This window comes from Homo sapiens, chromosome 1, assembly GCF_000001405.40.
Source record: "Homo sapiens chromosome 1, GRCh38.p14 Primary Assembly".
Classification (NCBI taxonomy): Eukaryota; Metazoa; Chordata; class Mammalia; order Primates; family Hominidae; genus Homo; species Homo sapiens.
The window spans coordinates 243,481,984-243,505,666 of record NC_000001.11 but is presented as its reverse complement, the minus strand read 5'-3'; the positions used below and the strand labels follow the sequence as shown (position 1 = coordinate 243,505,666).

Sequence of the window (23,683 nt, the reverse complement as noted above, 5' to 3'; positions counted from 1 at the left end):
GTGGTTACATGAAATGAAAGGTTACTGAAGACTGCTCCTTCTTAAAAACTTCTGTTTTCTTCAATACCATTTTTTTCACTGTTTCATTGAGTCTTGAAATTTTGATGTCTTAGAGATGATTCTATAGTATTATTTCTTCATAGACTATGTATTTATGAAAATCAGATGATTTTTGAAGTATAATTACTCTACAGCTTATTGATGAACACAAGTTTATGGGAGCTATTGCCTCTGTTCATCTTTCCTATGTTCAGAGTTTAAAAAACATAGACTAGAGATAATGTTGCAAAAAATGAATGTGTAAAATTAAAATAGATGTTTCCTGCCCACAGATGATGAGGATGGTATGGACTGCATGGACAATGAGAGGCGGCCGCATTTCCCTCAATTTTCCTACTCTGCAAGTGGACGAGAATAAGTCTCTTTCATTCTGCTACTTCACTGTCATCTTCAATTTATTACTGAAAATGATTCCTGGACATCACCAGTCCTAGCTCTTACACATAGCAGGGGCACCTTCCGACATCCCAGACCAGCCAAGGGTCCTCACCCCTCGCCACCTTTCACCCTCATGAAAACACACATACACGCAAATACACTCCAGTTTTTGTTTTTGCATGAAATTGTATCTCAGTCTAAGGTCTCATGCTGTTGCTGCTACTGTCTTACTATTATAGCAACTTTAAGAAGTAATTTTCCAACCTTTGGAAGTCATGAGCCCACCATTGTTCATTTGTGCACCAATTATCATCTTTTGATCTTTTAGTTTTTCCCTCAGTGAAGGCTAAATGAGATACACTGATTCTAGGTACATTTTTTAACTTTCTAGAAGAGAAAAACTAACTAGACTAAGAAGATTTAGTTTATAAATTCAGAACAAGCAATTGTGGAAGGGTGGTGGCGTGCATATGTAAAGCACATCAGATCCGTGCGTGAAGTAGGCATATATCACTAAGCTGTGGCTGGAATTGATTAGGAAGCATTTGGTAGAAGGACTGAACAACTGTTGGGATATATATATATATATATAATTTTTTTTTTTTAAATTCCTGGTGGATACTGTAGAAGAAGCCCATATCACATGTGGATGTCGAGACTTCACGGGCAATCATGAGCAAGTGAACACTGTTCTACCAAGAACTGAAGGCATATGCACAGTCAAGGTCACTTAAAGGGTCTTATGAAACAATTTGAGCCAGAGAGCATCTTTCCCCTGTGCTTGGAAACCTTTTTTCCTTCTTGACATTTATCACCTCTGATGGCTGAAGAATGTAGACAGGTATAATGATACTGCTTTTCACCAAAATTTCTACACCAAGGTAAACAGGTGTTTGCCTTATTTAATTTTTTACTTTCAGTTCTACGTGAATTAGCTTTTTCTCAGATGTTGAAACTTTGAATGTCCTTTTATGATTTTGTTTATATTGCAGTAGTATTTATTTTTTAGTGATGAGAATTGTATGTCATGTTAGCAAACGCAGCTCCAACTTATATAAAATAGACTTACTGCAGTTACTTTTGACCCATGTGCAAGGATTGTACACGCTGATGAGAATCATGCACTTTTTCTCCTCTGTTAAAAAAAATGATAAGGCTCTGAAATGGAATATATTGGTTAGAATTTGGCTTTGGGAGAAGAGATGCTGCCATTTAACCCCTTGGTACTGAAAATGAGAAAATCCCCAACTATGCATGCCAAGGGGTTAATGAAACAAATAGCTGTTGACGTTTGCTCATTTAAGAATTTGAAACGTTATGATGACCTGGCAACAAAAAGTAATGAAGAAAATTGAGACCTGAGTGAAGATAAGAAATGATCTTTACGTGGCAAAATGAACACATCTTGAGTATTTAGGAAATGGGCAGTGAAGGCTAAGAACCTGGTGTGTTTCTTGGGATCATGGTACATTTATCACTGAATTAAGCCATCAGGGAAAAAACAACAAAAAAAGAGAACACCTCCAGCTTTTCTTTTTCTGTATATACTCATGTCCCCCAGATTCCAACATTTCTCACTGAAAGGGGGCATGTATGCAAACCTCATCTTTCTCCTTCATTAATGATGATCTTCAGATTAAACCCTTTGGTGCTAGGAGCTGACAATTTCCAAAGCAGCCTGTGAAGTCCTAGGGGCTGGGGGCCACTCTTGCGGCAAGCAGAAGGCCATCCTACTCCGCGGAGTGATCATGGAAATGTATTTTAGTTAAACTCTGACAGCTCCCAAACGGAAGACTACAGCATGACGTAGTATTATGATTGCATTGTATGAAAGAGCAAGTGACTTTCTAAGTAGGATGAATCATATTCATATGCAGATGTCTTAGCCTCTTGACGCTGGAAGTGTGGATTTATAGCTATGAAACCACTGCTGGCAGTGGGTGGGCCACTGGGACTGACGGGGGTTAAAGGGCATTTTACTAAGGCAGCTAAGACATATTCAGACATCAACGTTATCCTTCTTTTTCATATTTCTACCTGAGTGAAGTTCATCCTTAGTATTGAGTAGGAAGTTACAGTAAATGGTAGTTCATTCTTACTTACACACATAGCTAATCTTTTTTTTTTCACTTGGAATTATGTTGAATGTTTCATTTTGACAAAAAAGTAGACTAGAAGGTATGTTCTTTAAGTTGTCTTGCATCCATTATATAAGAAAGAAACAGGTGAGAGGAAGAGCAGAAAGCTGAGACTGGCTGATGTTCAGAGCACTTACTCCTCTAGAGGGAAAGCATGACACCGAACACTAAGCACACAGCTTTTTGTTGTTTTGGTTTTTTCTCCCGCAAATCTTAAAGTGATTCCCATGACCTTGGCCAAGGACACTTCTTAAAGATTAATGACTGGCACTGACATTGCCCCAGGCGGGCCACTCCTCACACTGGCTCTCAGTTCCCAGCCATGCCTGGGGCTCAGTCACTTCTATTCCACCCTCTGAGACTCCATTGGTGTCACACAAGGTGTCTTCTTGGCTTTGATTTTGAGAATCCCCTATTTTCACTTCCAGATCTGTCAGCTGCCATGGAGGAATAATAGAAAACCAGAAATGCGTGTAGAGGGAGATTTCTAAAACTTCCCTTGTGTCGCCCATAGTTGTAGTTTTGGGTTCTGGCAGGTGGAACACCCTGAAACCTGGAATCATTCTATGAGAATACAGTTCAGACTTTGCAGACTCCAGCCCATACTAACTGTCATGAAGCTTGACTTCTTGTCATAATGCAGCCATCTTGGAGGAAATTGGCCATTTCTGCTTAGATGGTTGGCAGGGTCGCGCTCAGCTTTGCTTTCTACACTAATTACATAGCATTATTCAAGTATTGTTTTCCATTTCCCATCCCTGATTTCCAGCTTCTTAAAGCTGACTGTTCTTGCAGGGGCCACTTGCTTCTCCTAGAGTACAAAAGTAAGGGCCTTCCTTACTAACTGCAGGGTCTCTCTATTACACCTCAACATACACACTTTGCTGCTACTGTTTGTACTGTCTACAGTAGAATTTCCTTATCTTGCTCCTGGTAGTGCATTACAGGCAAGCATGAAATGTAAAGTATTTATTTAAATAAAAAGAAAACCTCTAAATTGGTAATTGAATTACCTCCCTGTAGCTTTATAGTTTGTGACATTTCTTGACCTTGCTAGTTCTTTCATTAGATCTGCGCAAGATCTAGTCATCTGGTTAAGGATTTTAAGCAGATGCAACTATAAACCCAAGAAACTGTATTACTATTACTGTTGGTCATACTAAACCTGTCTATTTCCTGAAGTATATGACCCACAAGGATGTGGAATAACTAGGAGAAACTGTTTTTGTACACTGTACATCCTTAGTATTTTTACACGTATATGATAGGGATGAACATGATTTTCCTTCGTACAGACAGCTTAAATAAAGCACTATGTCAATCTGCTACTTCTCTGTTTATTGTTGTTGGATGTGGTTCTATAATCCCCCCAAATTAAATCTTCTTTAATGAAAACATGATTTTTAATAGCCCCAGCTGGTATTAACCTACCTTGTATAAAATGTGACAGGAAAATATAGAAATAATTCCTTGTAGCTCACACACACACACATAGGGGATCATTTTTACTTCAGTGAAATGGCAGTAGTGCGGTTGTGCAAACTTTGATGAACGGCTGCTTCTGAGGGGAAACGCTGACCTCTCAGCACTGGATTTAGGATGGATGTACTGTGAAGCCAGGGATGAAGGAGGTCTCAGACCCTGGGGACATTCAGACCCGAATCATCTATACAACACACGGTTTGGACCCAGAATCTGAAGGAATGTAGCTTTTCATTAACGTCTTCCTGATAATGTACTGCTCTGCATATTTCCTTTCTTAGAGTGTATTTCTAACAACATGTCATGGCAAATTAACAAACTTAGACGTGGGTGATGTAGATGGGTAGGATGGCTGGACTGCAGTCTGACTTCACGTTGAATCATTCTGGATGGGGCCTTTTTCTGATTTTACCTCATAAAGCTACTATTGTAGAAACTTGGCTTTGCTCCTGTGACGAAGCCAGACAGAGGAATGGCTTTTGGGACCAGAGTGAGTCAAGCATGTATGTGTATGTCACACGGCCAAATTTGAGGGCATTCTCACATGTGCTCTTCTCTCAAAACCACTGGGGTTGACAGATCCAGGAGGCTAAAAAAAAGTGACCTCTATAATTCTTTAAAGGTGCTATTTTTAGAATATTGTATAATTTATTCACAGTATATCTAAAACAGAATTAAGGACAATTAAAATATCTTATGTGACAGCCTTTATGTCTAGCACATTTGATGAAATAAAAAACTTCTGAATCTGAATAGAAGTTCTACTGTTTCAGGCTTGAACCTTTTACATGCTCAAGAGATTCAAATGGTCTCTGTGTGTAGATCATGCCACCGCCTCCAAAGCCTAATCCACATCACTTCTGAGAGGCAAGGCTGAGCATATGGTGACATCAGCTCTGTGTTGAGATGGTGATGAGGATGATGGCTCGCTGGCCAGGCAGGGCAGCCGAAGGTCAGGGACCTGTCCTAACTAACTGCAGCCTTGCCTTTAGTGTTTGTCATTCTCAGATACAACACGGTATGTCCAGTGTCCGTTTTTATTACTTTAAAGCATTTGAGGGCTTAATTGTGTATAGTAGAAATACTATTTTAGACAAATAATTATCTGTGTACAGATATTTGATATACTCTAAGTAAATTTTCTAATTTCACTAAGTACGTTTTTAGGCTCCTCTCAAATACTGCGTATTGAAGAAAAAAATCTGACACCACCGAGCCAAAGATGCTTTTTTGTCTGTTTTCGTTGTTTAACAGAATGGAAAGAGTAATGCATAGTGCTTCCTGGTGTCTCCTGATTGATTGATTGTGCACAAAGTAGGACGATAAATAAATAAAATGGAGTCTGATGGGACATTGATTAAAGGTGAAGGATGATTGATATATAGATCATGAAAAGAAAAATGAATGGCAGGAAAAAAAGTTTGGTCCTTAATATACTTTGGCCTAGTTAAAATATGTGCCTTTTTGGTGTGTTTTGTTCATCACTACAAGATAAAAAGGAAACATTACAACTCAAGTCTTTAAAAAGTTCATTTATTGAAAATCATATGTATAACCTAGCATACGAATGAGCAGATTTAAACACATAACTTCAAGCCATTTCTGAAAACATACACCAGGAGCTCTGCTCAGCTAGAGTCAGACTCCAGCTCCAGCCCGACTGCGTGCGGGGACAGCGCCCGCGTTGATGAGGACCAGCCCCACTGCAGGCTGAGGCGGTGTCACCCTGGGAAGGTCGTGGTGCGTTGTGGCATATTAAGTCTAAACCAGATGAATGTAAATATCTCTTTGTAAATCATTTATTTCACTCTGTTCCATCCAGGTCAGCAATCAGATTGTGGCATGCTGGGTAACTGGAAAAAATAATAAAAAGTAAGTTTCAATAGCTCATGTTCTTCAATGTTATTTGTCTTCTCATTTGCTGGTTTAGTCACCTTTTATGATGAAAACTGTTGTTGGAGAAAAAAACCTGTTGCTAAAAATGTGGAAATTATATGAAAAGTTTGTGCCTCATCTTGTCCACATCAAAGCCCTTCACATATGAAATAAGGTTAACTGGTTTAATGGGTTAAATTTGAAGACAACCTAGACAAAAGACACGCCTGCCTCTTAAATAAGGACAGTCTGGTGTTAGGACATGGCCAGAGAGCCATCTCTTCTGTCCGGGAAAGGACACATTGATTTGTGCCATAATCTGTTTACTGAAAATTTATCTGACCTTAACGGCAGGTAATTCTAGAACAAAAACAGGGTGTAGGCCAAGTGCCCCTAAGAAATTCCTCGTGAAACAATACAAGCTGAAACACCTCCAAATTTGTAACTGCAAGCAATTTATTGTAACCTATGAAAAAGTACTTTCACATGGAAACCTCACATGTGTTGGAAGAGGGGATTGGGTGTACTGAGGTCTCTTAGTTTTACGCAGATACAAATGTTCCAAAGTAGCTTCATGCAGATCAGGTTGGGGGAGAATCACAAGTTCAGAAAGTATTGAATACTGTTCCTGGCCTCTGCTGCCATGGCTGCCCAAATTAGTTTAAACCACATCAGGAACTAGAGTCAGAAGCCACTGGAAATGTTTCCACTCCACAAAGCATGTCTGGAGTTTCTACTGTGCACTGTGTGGGAAGGTGACTGGGCCACAGTCCTCGCCCTCTAGATTGTGAAGTCCAGAGAAAAGCCAGGATGGTATTTTCCAAATCCCGGTTTCTACGTCAGATAAATTGGGACGCACTGCAGGGCCAGGGGCCCAATCTGGTCCCTCTTTCTTTAGTTAGGAACCATCTTCCAAAAAGAGAAGTGGGCCTGCCCCTCTCCAGTGAGGATTTTCCAAGCTGGACTCCAAGGGAGGACTCTATCAACCTAATTTAAGCCATCATTAACATGGGGATTTCCAAGACAGGGCAATGAGTGAAACTGAATCCGCATTCAAGAGAAATATATGAACATCAGCCTGTTGCCTTTTATGAAAAATGAGAAAAAGTAATGTTTACATTTCAAGTAGATTTCCCAGTGTGTGAGAGACCCTGAGGACAACTTTTTCTTGAACAGGTCTGTGAGTAGTGGGGTGGTCTCAGCAGGGTAGTTAGAGTAGGTGGGGGGCCTGGCCTCAGGCTGAATGCAGGTGGGGCTCCGGCAGGAGGCCTCACTCCTCCTCGTAAACCTGCCATCCCATGCACACAGCCCTCCCAGGCCCGTGGAGCCAGGTGGACAATTTCCTGGGCCCACGGGATGCTTTGTTCTCCAGGCCCTGTCTGAGTGGCCCATGAGGAGTCCACCCCATGCACTATGCCCTAGAGCCCTGCCATTGCAGAGGGGACTCCCTTCTGTCCTCAGTGGGATACTGACAGCACGGAGACTGCCACCAACACGATCTGATTGTCAAACGCAGGGTTTGCACCAAGCTGACGTGCCCTCCAGGCCAGGTGATCGAACTGACCCAGCACAGTCCTGCTAAATGACTGGTTTGAATGGCCCTCCACCCCTGCTCCATGGATTGGCCACATAAGGCAGGTGGCCTGGTGGCCTCGCTCTTGACACAGTGGCTTCCTAACTTTAGAAATGCTAGGATGACTGAATACAAAAGGGATAAGCATAAATCCCAACAGATAACACTTCAAAAGAAAAACAACCCAACAGTGGCTCACACCTGTAATCCCAGTGCTTTGGGAGGCTGGGGCAATAGGATCGCTTGAGTCCAGGAGTTCGAGACCAGCCTGGGCAACATAGTGAGACCTCATCTCTACAAAAAAAATTGTAAAAATTAGCCATGTGTGGTGGCGCACCCCTGTAGTCCCAGCGACTCAAAAGGCTGATGTAGGAGAATTGCTGTAGCCCAGAATTCAAGGCTGCAGTGATGAATTTTGGGTAGAGAACACACCCACGTACACACAATACAGAATAGGCGTAAAGACCTGAAGTAAAAGTAAAATGTGTTGCGGAATTTTTTGATAAGCTCCAGGAAACAGGCATTTCTCATGATGAGTCTACATAATGCCTGTGGGCTCCCAGGCCACCTAGCAATTTATCACTATCGGAGCTGTTCCAGAAACGGGTGACCTCCTGATTCCGTGGGCCTGCATGGGGGTGACACAGATGTACGGGCCTCACCAGGAACCAATCAAAAGTCAGCCTGATTCCTTCCTGCGGCAGATCAGCCATGGCCATCTCTATGGGCTTTGTATTTCCTGCGGTTCAGGTGAGAAGCCCCATATCCATCCCCACTTTCACACTGTTGAACTTACCGTTCACTGCTCAACGCCCCCCCCCCCACCCGTGCCTACAGCCGTGCCTGACCCATGGTGAGCGTTCAGTCAGCACTGGAGGGCTGGATAATTTGTCCTAGGAGGTCACCGTTTTGTCGCCTCCATTTGCTGACTCTTTGGTAACACACATTTCTCTGACCGAGACAGAAGCCTTAGTTACTGCCCACATCTGGCTTGTCTGCCATTAGGGATATCCACGATGCTTATTTCCAGGAAGTCCTGTCATCAACACCACAGTGATCATGGTCTCGTCCAGGAGAGTAGAGCGTGCGTATGCCAGTGGGACATGAGCCCTCAGCCAGTGTCTCCCGTCCTTCTGCCCTTCCATTTGTCATCATGGCCCTTGCTGTGGCCCTCCTGTGGCTGTCCTGCAGCTCAGAGGGGGGCGACAGGGCGCCCTGGCCACTGCTCCCCTGCCGTGCTGTCCACAGGTGGTGGAAACGTGCCCCCATCTGCAGGCACACAGCTGCTAACCCATTTTCTTTGTTCTCATTTTAAATCCTATCGGAGTCATCTCTCCACAAACCCTGCCTCATTTATTTCTAAAGTTTGTTAAGTTCTGAGTGTAAGAAATCAGTTGCTCTGGGTGACCTGAACTGTTCCCCAGGCAACCACACTGTGGGGTCCAGCCAGCCTTTGCTGCTGCTTTGTTCCCAAACCAGCCAGAAGTGGCAGCCCGGGGAGATGGTGGCACCCCTCGCCCCTGCTCACAGGAGACCTGCCCGGGCTTCGCACTTCACTGTCTCCGTGGGTGGCTCTAGCCAACCCTTCTGAAGGTAACAACCCCTTCCCCCCCTGCTGTCCGCTCTGCTCACTGGCACGCTGTCTCTGTTTGGCCAAGTCAAAACGTGGTCCTGTTCCTTGTGTGTCTGGCAATAAAGCATCCATTTGTAACTGGAGAGGGCAGGCCCCTCCCCCTACCTCCATCTGGGGCATTTCAAAGCTGGCCCTGAGTTGACAGAGCTCCAGGGCAGCCCCTGCCTCGCTTGGTGGCTCGCCTCCCGCCTCCGCCTCGTGTTCTGGGCACCGGGGCCAGGGCTCGGCAGCTGTTCCAGCCAGGCCCGGCTCCGCCCGCACCCGCTCGGGTACCTGCCCCCATCCACACATCCTGTGGCCTGAGAAGAAGTTCATTTCCCTGCCCAGCCACTTCCCAATTCCATTCACTTCATTTCTCTGGGCCTTATTTTTCTATCTGTACAAAATGGTTATTTATCTCAAATGGCCCTTTCAAGCCCACAATGATCTCAGCACTAATCCTGTTGGTTTCATAATCATCTGTGCTGGGCTCTGGGTAATATGAGGCACTTCCTTTTAAAGGGAAGCTGGTTCTTTCTTTTTCTCTGCCAGAAATCAAGTGACATGAAAGCTAACACATGTCTCTGAAGCAACGCAGAGCTGAGATTCGAATCCAGGCAGTTTGACCTCAAAGTCCAGACTCTCCCATGCGAGGCTCTCCTGCTTGCTCTGGCAGATGAGGGGCAGCCAGTTTGATATCTACGGAATTAAGCTGCCAAATTGGGAAGGCAACCTGGATGAAATAAGCCACGTGAGCTCTGGCTCGCCACCAACGCACTGAGGAGAGAGGTGCCCTCAGCATGCTGGGCAGAACGTCGGGGAAACGCGGCCTTCGAGCAGGACCGCCCACCTGTCAGAAGGGAGCACTCCTCTACAGAGCCGAGGGGCAGTCAGCCACCCTCAGGCCCCTGCGGCCCTGCTGTCCCCAGCACAGCGACTGAAGTTCTCACTGAGGGGCCTCGTCCCCTCCGGGTCAGGCCTTTCCAGGAACCTGGCTCTGCCAGCTGCAAAGCAGGCGGGGGCTCACGGTTAAGGCCATCGCAGGGCAGCGGCCATTCTTCCCTCCTGGCTGCCCGGCTGGGCCCCTGATAACAGCCTCCACACCGCAGTCAGAGTTCAAAGCCCTCCTTCCCTTCCACCGCAGGGCTTGGCTTTGCTGCTTCTGGGCTCCGAGAAAGGAACAGGGCCGCAGAAACCAGAGGAATGGAAAGGTATCCACAGAGAAGGCCGCCTTGCAGACATGAAGTGGGACGTTCCGTAAGACAGCATCTCGAGCTGGACTTGGCGGGGAGAGGGAGGCGGCCCCGCACAGGCCAGGGAGGCCCCAGCACACATGAGGCCGGGGTGGAGGCCCTGGCTCTGCGGTGCCACCTGTCCTCCCCAGGGCGCACCCAAGCCCAAGGGTTCCTTCCCAACCGTGGGGTCTGAGTTTGTCATCTTCCAGCTTTCTCAAGTCCCCTGAGTCATGAGAACTTCCTCTACACACAGGCAGGTCTGTGTTTTATATGAACCATGTTTCCATGGTAAATAGATTTTAAGAATTCCCAAAGGACAGACAGTGTCACCAACAGCAGAGAGTGGAGCCTCTGGCTGCCTCATGTTTGAAAGTGTTAAAAATAAAGACAACACTGACATTTGGGGTTGTAATGTGACGGAATTACAGTCTTTTAAAGGCAAGAACCACTTATCTACACTACATGCAATATTCAGTGTTTTGTTCACTTGTCTAATTGGATTAAAATATTTAGCTCCCTTTAAAATCTTGATTGTGAATTTATATTGTGAAATGTAATGTCTGACTCAGGAAGCAATAAGTAGAGTGAATGTATCTGAAGGAATATAAAATTCAATTGACTTTTCTCCCATGATTCTTATTCTGAAAGTACTCACTCTTGGACAAAGTGAACTGTTAACGGAAGAGCAAGTCTGGCTAAAATGAAGCCCTATGCGCTTTTCAATATTAATTATACACGGGGCGCTCAGTCAAAAAACAAAAAGTTTAACTGTCTGCTGTTGGAGGTGTTTGGGGAAGTTTCTCCGAAGGTCGCGAGATGCTTATGTTAGACATGCAGCACCCAGGGTCTTGTGTCATTTTTTAAAAACACTCAGGCAGCAGGGAGTTAATGACATTTTAGCTGCATATGTTCAAGTTTATTTAAAAAAATATGCAAGTCACTTTGGTTGACAGTGTCTTGTACACAGTTTTGAAAGAATCAGGGCAAACTTTAACAGAGTCAGTTTTTATTTGAAAAATATTTTCTGGGAATGTATCAGTGTTTATTTTTGAGACTGACAATTCGGGTGAAAATCAGGATAAAAACAAAAAAACAACAATTTGGTTGAAATCAAATTGTTTGTTTTCATCTATTTAGAATTCTTTCCAAAAAATCTTGGTTCAGGAGGAGGCTTTTTAATTTATTTTATTCAATGTATTTGCTGTTCTATTCAAGCGCCATCTGTCTTACAGGTAGCTAACTTTGTGGTAGCTCCTAAGTCAGCTGGGCGAGGCCCCCAGGGCTCCTGGAAGGACCACAGTAAATTAGGTGACACCTCCAAGGCCTAACATGGGCAGCCTGCAGCAGCTCCGCCTTGCAGCCAGGCCTCCCTCGGCAGGGAGTCTTGCTCCCTGAGAGCTGTCACTTTTCTAGAACCTCCCTTCTCCCTTTGCTTCCAGTTGCAATGGGCCTTTCCTCCCTTCATCATCTTCTGTGTCTCTGTGTCCCCTGCTTGTTTTCGGCTCTCTTCTATGAGTCCTTTGGTATAATGAGATAATGTCGATGATCTTGAATATAATCACATATGGCTGCTGGATCCATGCACAAGTTTAAATCAAATTAGAAAGTAAATTCACTGCCAAGAATGCTTAAAAGTCATAGGGCCAACTGATTAACCACTGACAAGTCAGTTTCCGACTCTGTTTTCTAAACTGTAAGTGATTCATATGAGGGGACTAAAAGGGAATCACTCCCCAGATTGAACACTGCAGACAGAACCAAGCAGCCTGCTCAGGATACGACGGCTACCAGAAAATGCAAGTCAGCCAAAACCGTATTCATTACCAAATAAGAAAGCAGACACAGAAAATCATCTTGATGGTTGAGACCATCCTCTAAGTGGACAGATAATTTCTGTTTTCCCCTGTCCCAGATGCCATTCTCCCCAAGACTCATGTTTCCTCACCAGCTGGCTCCAACCTTCCTAGCCAGATGTTAGAGCCCCCAGGCTCTGGGCCGCAGACCCCTGACCCTGCTCCAAGCTGTCAGGCCCTGCCCAAACTCCCCTGAGACCCACCACCCTCACCCCGAATCCCCCTCCCCCCACCCCCACCACCAAGGTTTCAGCCTCCCCCAGCCAGGGCCTGCCTCTCAAGAGGGCGAGAGTGCGACTACCCAGCCCAGTCTCAAACAAAAGACAGGCCAGGGTGTGTGTCTGGAGGCCCTGACCCTCCCGGAATACAGAGTGTGGGGAACTGCATCTAGGCAAAGCTGGGCTAGTGCTTCAGTGTCTGTTTCTCCACAAGGACAAGTAAGAGCCATTTCATGACATTTAAAAGCTATTTTCTTGAAGTTGTTTCCGAACCCAGGTGAGGCAGGAGATCAATAATGCCATTATTTGTAGTCACCCTAAACTAAGAACAAGCCAAGAGGCCGGGCAAAGCTCATGCCTGTAATGCCAGCACTTTGGGAGGCCAAGGTGGGCAGATCACCTGAGGTCAGGAGTTCGAGACCAGCCTGGCCTACGTGGAGAAACCCAGTCTCTACTAAAAATACAAAATTAGCCAGGCGTGGTGGCAGGCACCTGTAATCCCAGCTACTTGGGAGGCTGAGGCAGGAGAATTGCTTGAACCCAGGAGGCAGAGGTTGCAGTAGGCCAAGACCATGCCATTGTACTCCAGCCTGGGCGACAAGAACAAAACTCATCAAAAAAAAAAAAAAAAAAAAAAACAGCTGGGCGCAGTGGCTCACGCCTGTAATCCCAGCACTTTAGGAGGCTAAGGTGGGCGGATCATTTGAGGTCAGGAGTTCAAGACCAGCCTGGCCAACATGGCGAAACCCCGTTTCTATTAAAAATACAAAAAAATTAGCTAGGTGTGGTGGTGGGTGCCTGTAATCCCAGCTACTTGGGAGCCTGAGGCAGGAGAATCACTTGAAGCCGGGAGGCGGAGGTTGCAGTGAGCAGAGATTGCACCACTGTACTCCAGTCCGGGTGACGGAGCAAGACTCCGTCTCAAAAAAAAAAAAAAAAAAAAAAAAGCCAAGAAACGAGCCGAGAGCTTGAGCCAGTGCCCTGAGTCCTGCCCACCGCAGACAGCGCCGGGGAGCGGGGAGGATGGGGGTTCTCGTGGCCAAAAGCATCCATGTGGCAGCTACCACTACCAGGGGCTCCCTCTGCCAGCCATGTTGTTGTGAGTGTTTCAGAATTCAAGCAGAAACAATTAGAATAATGAAGCCTGCCAACAGGCTAGACACTTCCTGTTGGAGGCCACAGGCCAGCCTGAGCCCCACCACCAGGGGCAGCGGGGCTCAGGACCCAGGACAGGGAGGGAAGGAAAGGGGTGGACTTTGCTTTGGAACCATTGCCCGACCCATTCTCTTCTGGGTATTAAGTGGACAGAGATGTTTAGAGTTTGACATGCAAAATTAAGTTAAGCTTAACTCATCCAGGCTGAGAAAACGGAAGCCTTTAGTTAAACCATCTCTAACCCGGACATGAGGACAGCTCTAACCCTCAGCTGCCCAAGATCTGGACCCACAGGCCACTCCAGGAAAACAGAGAGGGTGGCTGAGCACTCCGGAGCCCTCAGGCGGCACCGCATCCAAAATACCTGCTCGAACCTACAGCAGCCTCGCCCACATCATGGCTCAGCAGAAGCCTAACTCACAACTCAAGCTGATTCCATGACAAGAAGGCATCGCAGAGGCTGAAGCCCACTGACAGCCCCTACCTAGAGGTGAAGGCCAGGCTTAGCCAGAAAAAGCAGGCTCTGGGTTTAGATATTCAGCAGAGAGCTTGCAAACCTGGATCCCTGCCTCCTCTCTGACCACTAGTATTTGCAACTGAAAGCCAACATTCCCTCTACCAAATTTCTTTTGTCATGTTCATATTAAAATAACTCCAAGTGTAATATTTGAATCTGAAAGGCCGCTTTAGAGATGAGCCAGATGGGCCAGTATCAGATAGCACAGGAATGGGCAAATCATTGCTGTTGCTTCAGGCAAAAGAAGAAAGAAAGACCTGCTAGTTTTTCTGAGGATTTTTTGAGGTTTGGGGTTTTTTTAATGCGTTTTGTGAAAATTTTGCAACTCATTTGGCAATAGCCAGATTTTTAAAGCCCTGGAAGAAGCTTCTAAGCATCGGTGATCCATGTTAAGATCTAAGTGTGCTGTAAAGCAGGCAGATGGGGAGTTAAAAGGCAAAGCCCACGTTCTCCTGATCTAGTCCAGAGCCCAAAGGAAGCTGCCGTGTGCTCCAGCTTCCACGGAAGACTCCCCACAACCTGAGGTCTGACAGAGTTCTTGGCTTTAGAGGCTGAAGATTCACTCATGCCAGGAGTCACGGTCCCTCCCTCCTATGTGACAAGAGCCTAGTCACCTGCCAGGAGACCTAGTGGCTCCAGTGGTCCTGATCTTTGGCTGGCCAGGCCTAAAGCAGGTGCTGCTGGGGCCCTCCCTGGGGACCTGCCCACAGGGCTGGGTTCTGGGCTGGGTCTGGTGGAGGATGAGGGGGTCATCCTGAAAGCAGAGGGGAGGGGAGTGGCACTGGTCCCACAGCTGCTGCTCTGCAGGCCTCTGCCTTCCCTGAACCTCTCCCAGGACCCTCTGAAGATGAGGGAGAAAGGAAACACCCTCACACGTCCTCAGCCTGTGTGCCCAAGGGCCCGTGGGGCATCCCGCCTGCACTCAGCACTCCCAGTAGCCCGTGAAGCCAGGCGTGCACCATGCCCACTGTGCAGAGGAGAAACTGAGGCTGGAAAAAGGCTTAAGTTACTTGTCCGAAGCGGGGGCAGGGGATTCAGCACAGTGACACAACCTGGAATAATTCTCTGTTCTTTCCAGCTCCAAACACTTCAGAGGTTTTCAAAATGTAGTGTCGTCCAGAATCATCCCAACAGCTTGGCAAAATTCAGGTTCCAGGGCCCTGCCATGGAGCGTGCCAGGTGAGGCCTCGCCTCCTAGATTAGCTGTGGCAGTGCGGCTGTGGCTCGGACTTTGAGCGGCCCGCTCCCCCACAGTCCCTGGGAGCAGTCTCAGAAGCATGGGGACAGTAGAGGCATTTCCACCTCCAGGCCTTAGCTCCGTGGCGCCTGGGTGTGCTCATTTACTGTCTGTGAACACATGTTTGGCAGAGGGATTTTGGACCGAGTGGGAAAAGTCAGTACTTACAGGTTCCTTGAGCACAGGGTCATTTTGTGAGGAGAATGAGACTCCTCTTCGTTTTCATTTCCAGATGCATTTTTCATATTAATCATTCCAAGCACTTACTGCCTGAAGTCCCCAGGGCACTCACAGAGCACCTGGGTGCAATCCTAATTAAAGGCGGAGGCCTTGGTCAGCCCACGGACCACCTCATTATCCTAACAAACTGCTTGACGGGGCAAAATGCACAGCCTCTCTGACAGGAAGAGAAGCGATTTAGCAAACGAGGTTTCATACTGTGTTCCAAATTCACCGGGACACTTTCCTTCCTCCCTTTTCCCTGCTGGTGGCCCCGGATCTAACCTGAATGGGGAAAGCCTGGGCTGTGGAGTCAGGCTTAGCCTCCGTTTGCGGTGTCCCTACTTGCCAGCTGTAATGCTTGTCTGGGCCTTAGTTTCCCTATCTAAACCATGAAGACAATAAAGTCAGCATCGCCTGCTTGTTCAAGGGTAAAGGGAATTAATGCATGTTCTGTGTGTAACACTGCCGGGTGCTCTGCAAGCACTCCAGATATTAGCCCAGTAATCAGTCAGCTAATTTAGGATGAGATGCCTGCCTTCCATTCAAGACGACTTTGCTAATTGGGAACACCTCTTTCCTCAACCAATTCAAACCATACACGACCTTCAGAGGCAGCTCAAGGCCACCATCCTCCAAAAAGCCTGTTCTGCCGCCCACGGCCGTCCTCCCGCTTCTCCCTGCTCTCGCACCCTCCGCAGCCTGCACGGCGCAACTTGGCACTCGGTGTGGTTCGTTGATTCGCGGGCCGGGGTCTGTTCACCTGCACGGACTTTAACTCCCTCACCAGGACGGGCCCATGGCTCCGCTTCTCTGGGTCCTGCACTGTGCCCAGCACAGTCTTCGGGACCTCCCTCCCAGCTTACTGCTAACCGATGTGATCCGTGAGAAAGCCGGCCTGTTGAGGTGCATAAAAGATCCACCTGTAGACGCCCGCCCAAGGACTCCCACCTGCGCCGCGTTCTGCACAGTACCTGGGTCCGCAGCCGGTCCACCTCTTCCGACAGGCTCTGCCTCTCCAGGAGAAGCTGGTTCTGCTTGCTGAGGAGCTGCACCAGCTGCTGGGCTGTGGCCTGGCTGTGCTTATCCAGCTGCCTTAGCCTGGAGAAAAATCCACCGCAGAATTAAAGAGGGATAACGTCAGCCTTTCAACAGGCCCAGGGGCTGTGTGTATCTGAGGGAAGCCCCTGATAGGGAACCATGAGCAGGACGCCTAGGGTGACCCTGAGGTGCCAGGCTCTGGCTGGCACTAGGTCCTTGGTACGCACTGTGTGAAGGTAACATTCTAGCAAATGTGCGTGGGAACTGGGAGCCATCTCAGTACACTATCAATTAGAAAACACGCAGATAAGTGGGGTAAGTAGAAGGAAAAGGAAGCTTTGAACTCCCAAGCAGAGGTCAAAGATGAGGGGCCTAAATGCCGCCATTGTTCAGCTGGAAAGGTCTCTGGCAGGCTGAGCAGACGGCCGCCCCGGCTGGGGAAGTGGGTGAGGGCCGTGGAAACACTGAAGTAAGGGTTTTCCATTATTAATCACTCAGTCAATCACGAGCTCCGGCATCGCTGACCAGATGTCTTTAAAGATCCTAAATTTGTCATTCTGCTGATGGGCGCTCCTCTCCAGACTTGCTAATTCACTCAGACCATTATCCTCATCTGTCCACAGTCGGCTTCCTACAGCCAGCAGCACAGTCACCCATGGAACTGTTGGCTTTGGATTAAATGTGGAATTGAACGACTACCCAGAAGTGTTCTGGAAAGAAGCGAGATGTGTGGCCTGCCTCACCGTCCTCACCCATCAAAAGCACCAGCAGGCACGTTAACTCGAATTCTCACAAGGAAAAGGCCATTAAAGCTCAAGGTGCATTTCAAACTCCAGGCTACTGAGCCGAAGGCCTCGTGGGCCGTTCTGCGGACACCGGCCTCTGGCTGCCCTCAGTCCGGGCTCTCCTGGGACTCCGGGCACAACTAAACTTACACGGCCACACGTTTGGGCCTTCGGGTTGGGATAGGTTCCTTTACAAAAAAGGCCGCACATGTGGGCACAGGTACCACTGCCCTCTGGGAAACCCGGCGATGGTCGGTACCTGCCTCCGGCGCTGCTCGGCCCACACCCTCCCATTTCCCCACGGCTCCCCCGGCCCTGCCCCATCGCCCTGCTCAGCCTCCGATGGATTTGGCTAGAGTCTTTGGTCCAGGGGCCCGAGCCCCCAGCCCTGACCCTTCCCCAGAACGCACCATGACTCCCTGTTTTCAGCCACACCCAGCGTTGTCCGGGTCTGCGGGGCGCCCTACCTGTGCCGGGGGAGGCGGGAGCAGCAGCCTAGGACCCCGCCCAGGCAGAGCCGGCACTACGCATGCTCCCAGGAAGCCCCGCCTCCCCGGGCTTGGCACCTCCGACTGCCACGCCCACAATTCCGCACCACCGCCCCCCTTGCCTGTCCCGACAAGGGCCTCCTGCTGCCCGCAGGTTCTGGAGAAAGTGTAAGGACTAAGGGACGCCCTGGCGCCTCTTTGGAGCCTGGGCAACAGCCAGGCCCTGCCCTGCCTCCAGGATCAGGCTGGCCTCAACAGAACAGCAAAGATCCTCCATCCAAGTAGGAGTGTTTCCCTGTGTGTGTGATGTATATATATGGTGATGCTCCAACACCCCACCTCATCCTTCCCTCTGATCTTGGAGGAAAAGTAGGTTTCCTTCTGGCAATACCTAAGGCCATCGCTGCTCTGGGAAGCCTCATCGGCCCCTACCCGTCCCCATCACGCTGGGGCTGAGGCAGCCTTTCCTGGGAGCTACCCTCAAAGCCACCCAGTGGATCACAGAAGCTCTCCTGCAAGGCCCCAGGGGGGGGCCCGGGCTGTCCTGAACAGTGAGCGGCCGGGAGAGAGGAGGACGTCCCGGGCCAGCGGACTGGGGAACCTGCCTAGGCCGACCCTCTGACACAGGCAGGCGGCCACCATTCATCTGAGCACCTGCCCTGCTGTGGGGCCCAGGAGTGGGTCCCATTGAAGAGACAGAGATGGTAACAGCTCTTTTCCTTGAGAAGCAGACAATCTGATGCTTCCGTATTTAAATTAGTGGGTGGAAAGCATCATTCGCCCTTGAGCTCTGGAACCCTAAGGTGGCTTTTCCCCTCCGATGAAGGCCTACCTGTGGAGAGAGCTACTGGCTAAGAGCAACTGAGGTAGCCCCGTGGCTTCCTGCTTGCTCGAAAAGAATGGAACAGAAACGTGACAAATGACATCATGACATTGCTGCATGGCAAGAAGGTGCCAGGAAACGTGACAAGTGACACCATGACATGGCTGCATGGCAAGAAGGTGCCACGAGCAGCCATTGTCCATGTGGTCCCTTGCCCTGTGCTTGGATCAAATGAGATGATGGTCCTTTGGACCGATGGGCTCAGTATGTGGTTTTGAACTCCTGAAAAGGGATGGCAGCCCATCCAGGGCAATGGGCAGGGCCAAAGCCGCTCTCACAGCATAAACACCGGTCACGGCCGGCCACCCTGGCTCCACCTTCAGCGATGGGGCCGGTTCTGGCCTAGACCTTCCTCCTATGGAGCCCTCAGAACCTGGAGGAGGTTTAGTCCAGAGTGCTTTGCAACCTGGGGGCCTGGGAAGGCTATAGCGATTACTGGGGTGGGAAGGAGGAAGGAGACACCACCCAGACCCCGCTGAATCAAGTGCCTGGGTGTGAGCCCCACAAGACAGCAGGGGACCAGCTGACCAGGATGTCCACACACAGAAGCACCCCTGCTGTGAGAAGTGAGATCCCTAAGAAGGGGCAGCTCTCCCTTCACAGCTAAGAGCTGAGGATGGATTCCAATTGACTCAATTTTTAAATCAACTTGAACACTCCCAGTATTACAAATATTGGGAAAAGAGATTTTTTTTTTTTTTTTTTTTTTTTTTTTGGAGGCAGAGTTTTGCTCTTGTTGCCCAGGCTGGAGTACAATGGTGCGATCTCGGCTCACCGCAACCTCCGCCTCCGGGTTCAAACAATTCTCCTGTCTCAGCCTCCCGAGTAGAGTAGCTGGAATTACAGGCATGTGCCACAACGGCGGCTAATTTTGTATTTTTAGTAGAGACGGGGTTTCTCCATGTTGGTCAGGCTGGTCTCAAACTCCTGACCTCAAGTGATCCACTCGCCTCAGCCTCCCAAAGTGCTGGGATTACAGGCGTGAGCCACCACGCCCGGCCCGAGATTGATTTTTTTTTTTTTCTTGATACGAAGTCTTGCTTTGTTGCCCAGGCTAGGGTGCAGCGGTGCTATGTCAGCTCACTGCAACCTCCGCCTCCTGGGTTCAAGCGATTCTCCTGCCGTAGCTGGGATTATAGGCTCCTGCCACCGTGCCCAGCTAATTTTTATATTTTTCGTAGAGACAGGGTTTCACCATCTTGGCCAGGCTTGTCTTGAACTCCTGACCTCATGATTCACCCACCTCAGCCTCCCAAAGTGCTGGGATTACAGGCATGAGCCACCGCGCCTGGCTGAGATTTTTTGAAAGTTATTTATTTTTGGAAAAGCCTCCAACCCTGCACAAACCAGCCTACCCTCTGTTAATGGCTATTTCATTGCCATCATTCATTCAGAAGAGATTTCTTGGGGTGTCCTAGACACATAAGCTCTCTTTTCTTTTCCATGGTGGTTACTGCTCTGTCATATTTGTGGTGTTGAGTTCACCTCTTCATCCACCCACAGTTTCAAATAGCACTGTTGATGACTGCTAACACCTTGAGCCCCTGGGCTCACTGCGCCACAATTACCTATGTAAATTTCATTAATAAACTACCTGTTAAATTCAATAATTATCTTAATTAAAAGTTCACTATAGTCCTAGGAGGTACATGCTAGTATCATCCCCATTTCACAGATGAGAAAACAAGCTGAGATGTTAATTAACTTGCACAAAGTCACACAAGTAATCGGTAAAGCTCGGAGTCAAATCGAGCCAGCGCCCAAGTGTCCTTAACCATCGTTAATGGTGGTTAACTCACTGAGTTAATTCACCAAACGAACCAAGCCTTGCTAAACACCTCTCTTCTTCTGCTTCTTCTTCTTTTTTTTTTTTTGAGATGGAGTCTTGCTCTGTTGCCCAGGCTGGAGTGCAGTGGCATAATCTTGGCTCACTGCAACCTCTGCCTCCTGGGTTCAAGAAATTCTCCTGCCTCAGCCTCCCAGGTAGCTGGGACTATAGGCGCGCACCACCACACCTGTCTAATTTTTGTATTTTTAGTAGAGATGGGGTTTCACGATGTTGGCCAGGCTGGTCTCTAACTCCTGACCTCGTGATCTGCCCGCCTTGGCCTCCCAAAGTGCTGGGATTACAGGCGTGAGCCACCGCGCCCGGCCAACACCTCTTAAGGGTCAAGTACTGATTTAAGACCTGGGGGTCCATCAAGAATGACAAATGCTCCCGGCTCTCGGGCGGTTCCCGGCCAATGGAGGAGAGACTCACTTGTAAAAAAAACATGCTCAACTCAAACAGGACACTGAGGCATGAAGAGAAATGGCCAATATTGCAGATGAGAAGCCTGGGAGGGCTTGCGCCTGCTTAGACATGGCTCATGATCGTCGTATGCTGAGCACTTTTATGTCGGGCACTAGACTTACTGTTTATTTAGCACTCACAATTCCATGAGGCAGGAACTAATTATTATGCCACTTTAAGGTTAAGGAAACTGAGGCACAGACAACATGAATCATTGATTCAAAGTCACTCAGCGGGCAAGCTGGGATGGGAAAGGATGAGTGGGTGCTTTTCTGGCCAGGGCCAGGGGCGGGGCCTTCCCACTTCGGGGCCGCACTGCAAAGGCCAATGCGTGTCTGGAAACTGCAAGCTGTGCAGTGTGGCTGCACCAGAGGCTGCAGGCTGCTCAGAGGAAGGCGACGCTGGACTCTGTAGCCAAACCAGCAAATATGGACTTCGTCCTGCAGGCAATGGCAGTGCCATTTAACAGACAGAGGATGGCAGGAGGGATCGGCCTGGCGTAGAAGAGACGTTCTGGGGTCAGGGCGAGTCCGAGGTACCTGTGGAACACGCACCCACCAGGCAGCTATGCAACTTGGGGCTTAGGAAGGGCCGAGCTGGAGCTCTAGCTGGGTGGGCCAAACCTGCTGGGAGGCGAGACCATGAACGTGGGGGCAAGATTTGCCTGGGAAGGGTTGGCAAAGATTGTCAGTGTGGGGAGTTTGTTAAAAATGCAGCTCTCCGGGCCCGCACGACCCCCCTAGCTGAGAAGCTCTTCTGCAGTGAGAGGGAAGGGCTCGCCCCAGGATAGGGGTTAAGGAACCTCCGCCTTCAATGGCTGGCAGTGGACTGGAATCCGGCAAGACACTGAGAGTGGGATCCTGGAGGGAGGAAAACTGGGAGACGGAGGTCCAGGGAGGAGAGGGGTCAGGGCGGAGTGGCCGGTTTGTGGGAAATGCCACCTGGTGGCGGAGCGCCCTGCGGAGCCTCCTGGCTGGGGCAGAAGCCAGATTTCAGGGGCTGGAAGAGAAAGCCTCTTCTGGTGAGGGGCTGGGCTGGCGGGGAGGTCGCGAGACGGGGTGCGGAGGGTGGGAGCCACCGAAGCCGCTGGGGAGGAGGCACTGGAGGAGAGAGGGGCAATCTTCACGGCAGAGGACGGCGGACTTCCCAAGGGAGGAGGGCGCCTTAGGCAGAAGACTGAGACCCTCCCCCCGAGGCAAGAGTGGAGGCGGGAGCAGGGGCGGGTCGCGGAGGGCGCTCGTGCTCAGCAGCCTCCAGGATCCCCCACGTAGAGGGCACCGCTGTTTGCGAGAAAGGCGACGAGGCAGCGGGGTGGCGGCGGGGACGCTGCTGCGGGGACGAGGGCGCCGGCGGGAGGCAGGGACACGCCGCCCAGCCCAGGGGGCGCGCTCCGAGGAAGACCCGGGCGCCCGCCGCCTCCTCCCCGGGCTCCGCAGCCGCCGCCCCGTGCCCTCCACCTGCGACCTTCACCCCCCTCACCGTCGCCACGGGCCTGGAAACCTCTTCCAGCGTCCGTTTCAGGGCGACTGTCGTTTTGAGAGAGTGCAATTTCTTGTTCTGTGTGTCTTGTTTTTAGCCTTTTCTTCTAGGAGGCATTAAGTCATGAACGGGGCGAGGGGGTTTGCCATCATGGGGCCCGCGGAGTCTGTTTAGGCAGCAGCCCCCGCTGCAAGAAGCCCCCCACAGCCTGCGAACCACACACGCCCTCCATGCGGCAGGAAACACAGAATCGTCCGATTTCAGAGCTCAACCCCTAATTCAGACCCTTCTTTCCCGCGCCTTTATCTCATCTTTGCAACAGGCAGGGATTGCATCCAGGGCCCCCAGGATGTGGTTGCTATCTTCACTGTGCTGTCATGGAGCCCTGGGAGCTGTGGCCAGGCCCCATCAGGGGCAGGAAGCCAGTCCTCCTCCCAGGAAGCCCCTGTGCTCCCCGGCCCTCACAGCACAGCGTAGGGTCCGCGGGTCCATGAGGAAGGACACTTGAGGGAGCCTGCACCCAGGCTGGTGCGGCCGTCCTAATCTCAGGCACAGGGTCCATGTCCTTCAGGATCTGCAGATGAACAACTGCCACCCCTGCCTGGGTAGGACTGGGGACCCTGAGGGAGAAAAGCAGCTGCCCCATGCAGGGGTAGAATGGGCAGCACGGGCTCCCCTTCCACGCAAGGGCATCCCAGGAATTTCAGGCGTGTCAGGGGCAGCAGTTACCATGGGAACAAACACGCCCGGGTTTCTAAAGGCAGATGCTGATGAAATCACAGGGGACTCATAAGAGTGCTGGGCCCAGGCAGATCTCCATTGGTCCAACAGCGATCCTCTGAGCCACACCCTGCAAGCATGATCAGAACCAGCATTTAAAAAAATATGCAAGGCTTCAAGATAAGATGGAGCAAGTGGTGAAATACAAAACAACTTTATAGAGCTGAGTGGGCTGGGGAAAATATCTTATGCAAAACAGAAGCGGTGCAAGCTGCCAGCTCTGGTCCTATGCTTCAGACACTCATTTGCTATGAATACTGTGAAAGCAAGTGAATACATAGATTTAAATTTTTTTATGTTGTATGTGATACATACAAAATATATGCAATGTATACATAAGTCATGAGGTATAATAACCAAATGAACACTTGTGAACCTAGCA

General features: G+C 49.4%; 2 protein-coding genes across 16 annotated transcripts in view, besides 5 other annotated features; one reads left to right on the top strand and one right to left on the bottom strand.

Moving 5' to 3' along the window:
• Positions 1–17,434, top strand: part of AKT3 (AKT serine/threonine kinase 3) — a 362,847-nt gene extending 345,413 nt beyond the window's left edge. For 8 of the 10 annotated variants that reach the window (NM_001370074.1, XM_047420641.1, XM_047422391.1 and 5 more), the window contains one exon: positions 333–5,943. In NM_001370074.1, coding sequence (NP_001357003.1) covers positions 333–418 — 86 coding nt within the window. In that variant the 3' untranslated portion in view covers positions 419–5,943. Of the gene's footprint in view, positions 1–332; positions 5,944–17,216 lie in introns of those variants that run through there. The other 2 variants (NM_181690.2, NM_001206729.2) reach the window with 2 other exon arrangements.
• The window catches only part of SDCCAG8 (SHH signaling and ciliogenesis regulator SDCCAG8), a 244,051-nt gene continuing 225,943 nt past the window's right edge, over positions 5,576–23,683 (bottom strand). For all 6 annotated transcript variants that reach the window (NM_001350249.2, NM_001350251.2, NM_001350248.2 and 3 more), the window contains 2 exons: positions 16,527–16,653; positions 5,576–5,911 (listed from right to left, as the gene is read on the bottom strand). In NM_001350249.2, the coding sequence (NP_001337178.1) occupies positions 5,882–5,911; positions 16,527–16,653 (157 nt within the window). In that variant the 3' untranslated portion in view covers positions 5,576–5,881. The remainder of the gene's footprint in view (positions 5,912–16,526; positions 16,654–23,683) is intronic.
• Positions 8,863–9,514: an enhancer, noted in NCBI's record as "H3K27ac-H3K4me1 hESC enhancer chr1:243659455-243660106 (GRCh37/hg19 assembly coordinates)". NCBI's record gives its function as "activates a minimal SCP1, AML or CMV promoter by ChIP-STARR-seq in primed H9 embryonic stem cells {active_cell/tissue: H9 hESC(primed)}" and the evidence as "EXISTENCE:reporter gene assay evidence [ECO:0000049][PMID:30033119]".
• Positions 14,781–15,304: an enhancer, noted in NCBI's record as "NANOG-H3K27ac-H3K4me1 hESC enhancer chr1:243653665-243654188 (GRCh37/hg19 assembly coordinates)". NCBI's record gives its function as "activates a minimal SCP1, AML or CMV promoter by ChIP-STARR-seq in naive H9 embryonic stem cells {active_cell/tissue: H9 hESC(naive)}" and the evidence as "EXISTENCE:reporter gene assay evidence [ECO:0000049][PMID:30033119]".
• Positions 15,305–15,828: an enhancer, noted in NCBI's record as "H3K27ac-H3K4me1 hESC enhancer chr1:243653141-243653664 (GRCh37/hg19 assembly coordinates)". NCBI's record gives its function as "activates a minimal SCP1, AML or CMV promoter by ChIP-STARR-seq in naive and primed H9 embryonic stem cells {active_cell/tissue: H9 hESC(naive and primed)}" and the evidence as "EXISTENCE:reporter gene assay evidence [ECO:0000049][PMID:30033119]".
• Positions 21,018–21,576: an enhancer, noted in NCBI's record as "H3K4me1 hESC enhancer chr1:243647393-243647951 (GRCh37/hg19 assembly coordinates)". NCBI's record gives its function as "activates a minimal SCP1, AML or CMV promoter by ChIP-STARR-seq in naive H9 embryonic stem cells {active_cell/tissue: H9 hESC(naive)}" and the evidence as "EXISTENCE:reporter gene assay evidence [ECO:0000049][PMID:30033119]".
• Positions 22,899–23,514: an enhancer, noted in NCBI's record as "H3K4me1 hESC enhancer chr1:243645455-243646070 (GRCh37/hg19 assembly coordinates)". NCBI's record gives its function as "activates a minimal SCP1, AML or CMV promoter by ChIP-STARR-seq in primed H9 embryonic stem cells {active_cell/tissue: H9 hESC(primed)}" and the evidence as "EXISTENCE:reporter gene assay evidence [ECO:0000049][PMID:30033119]".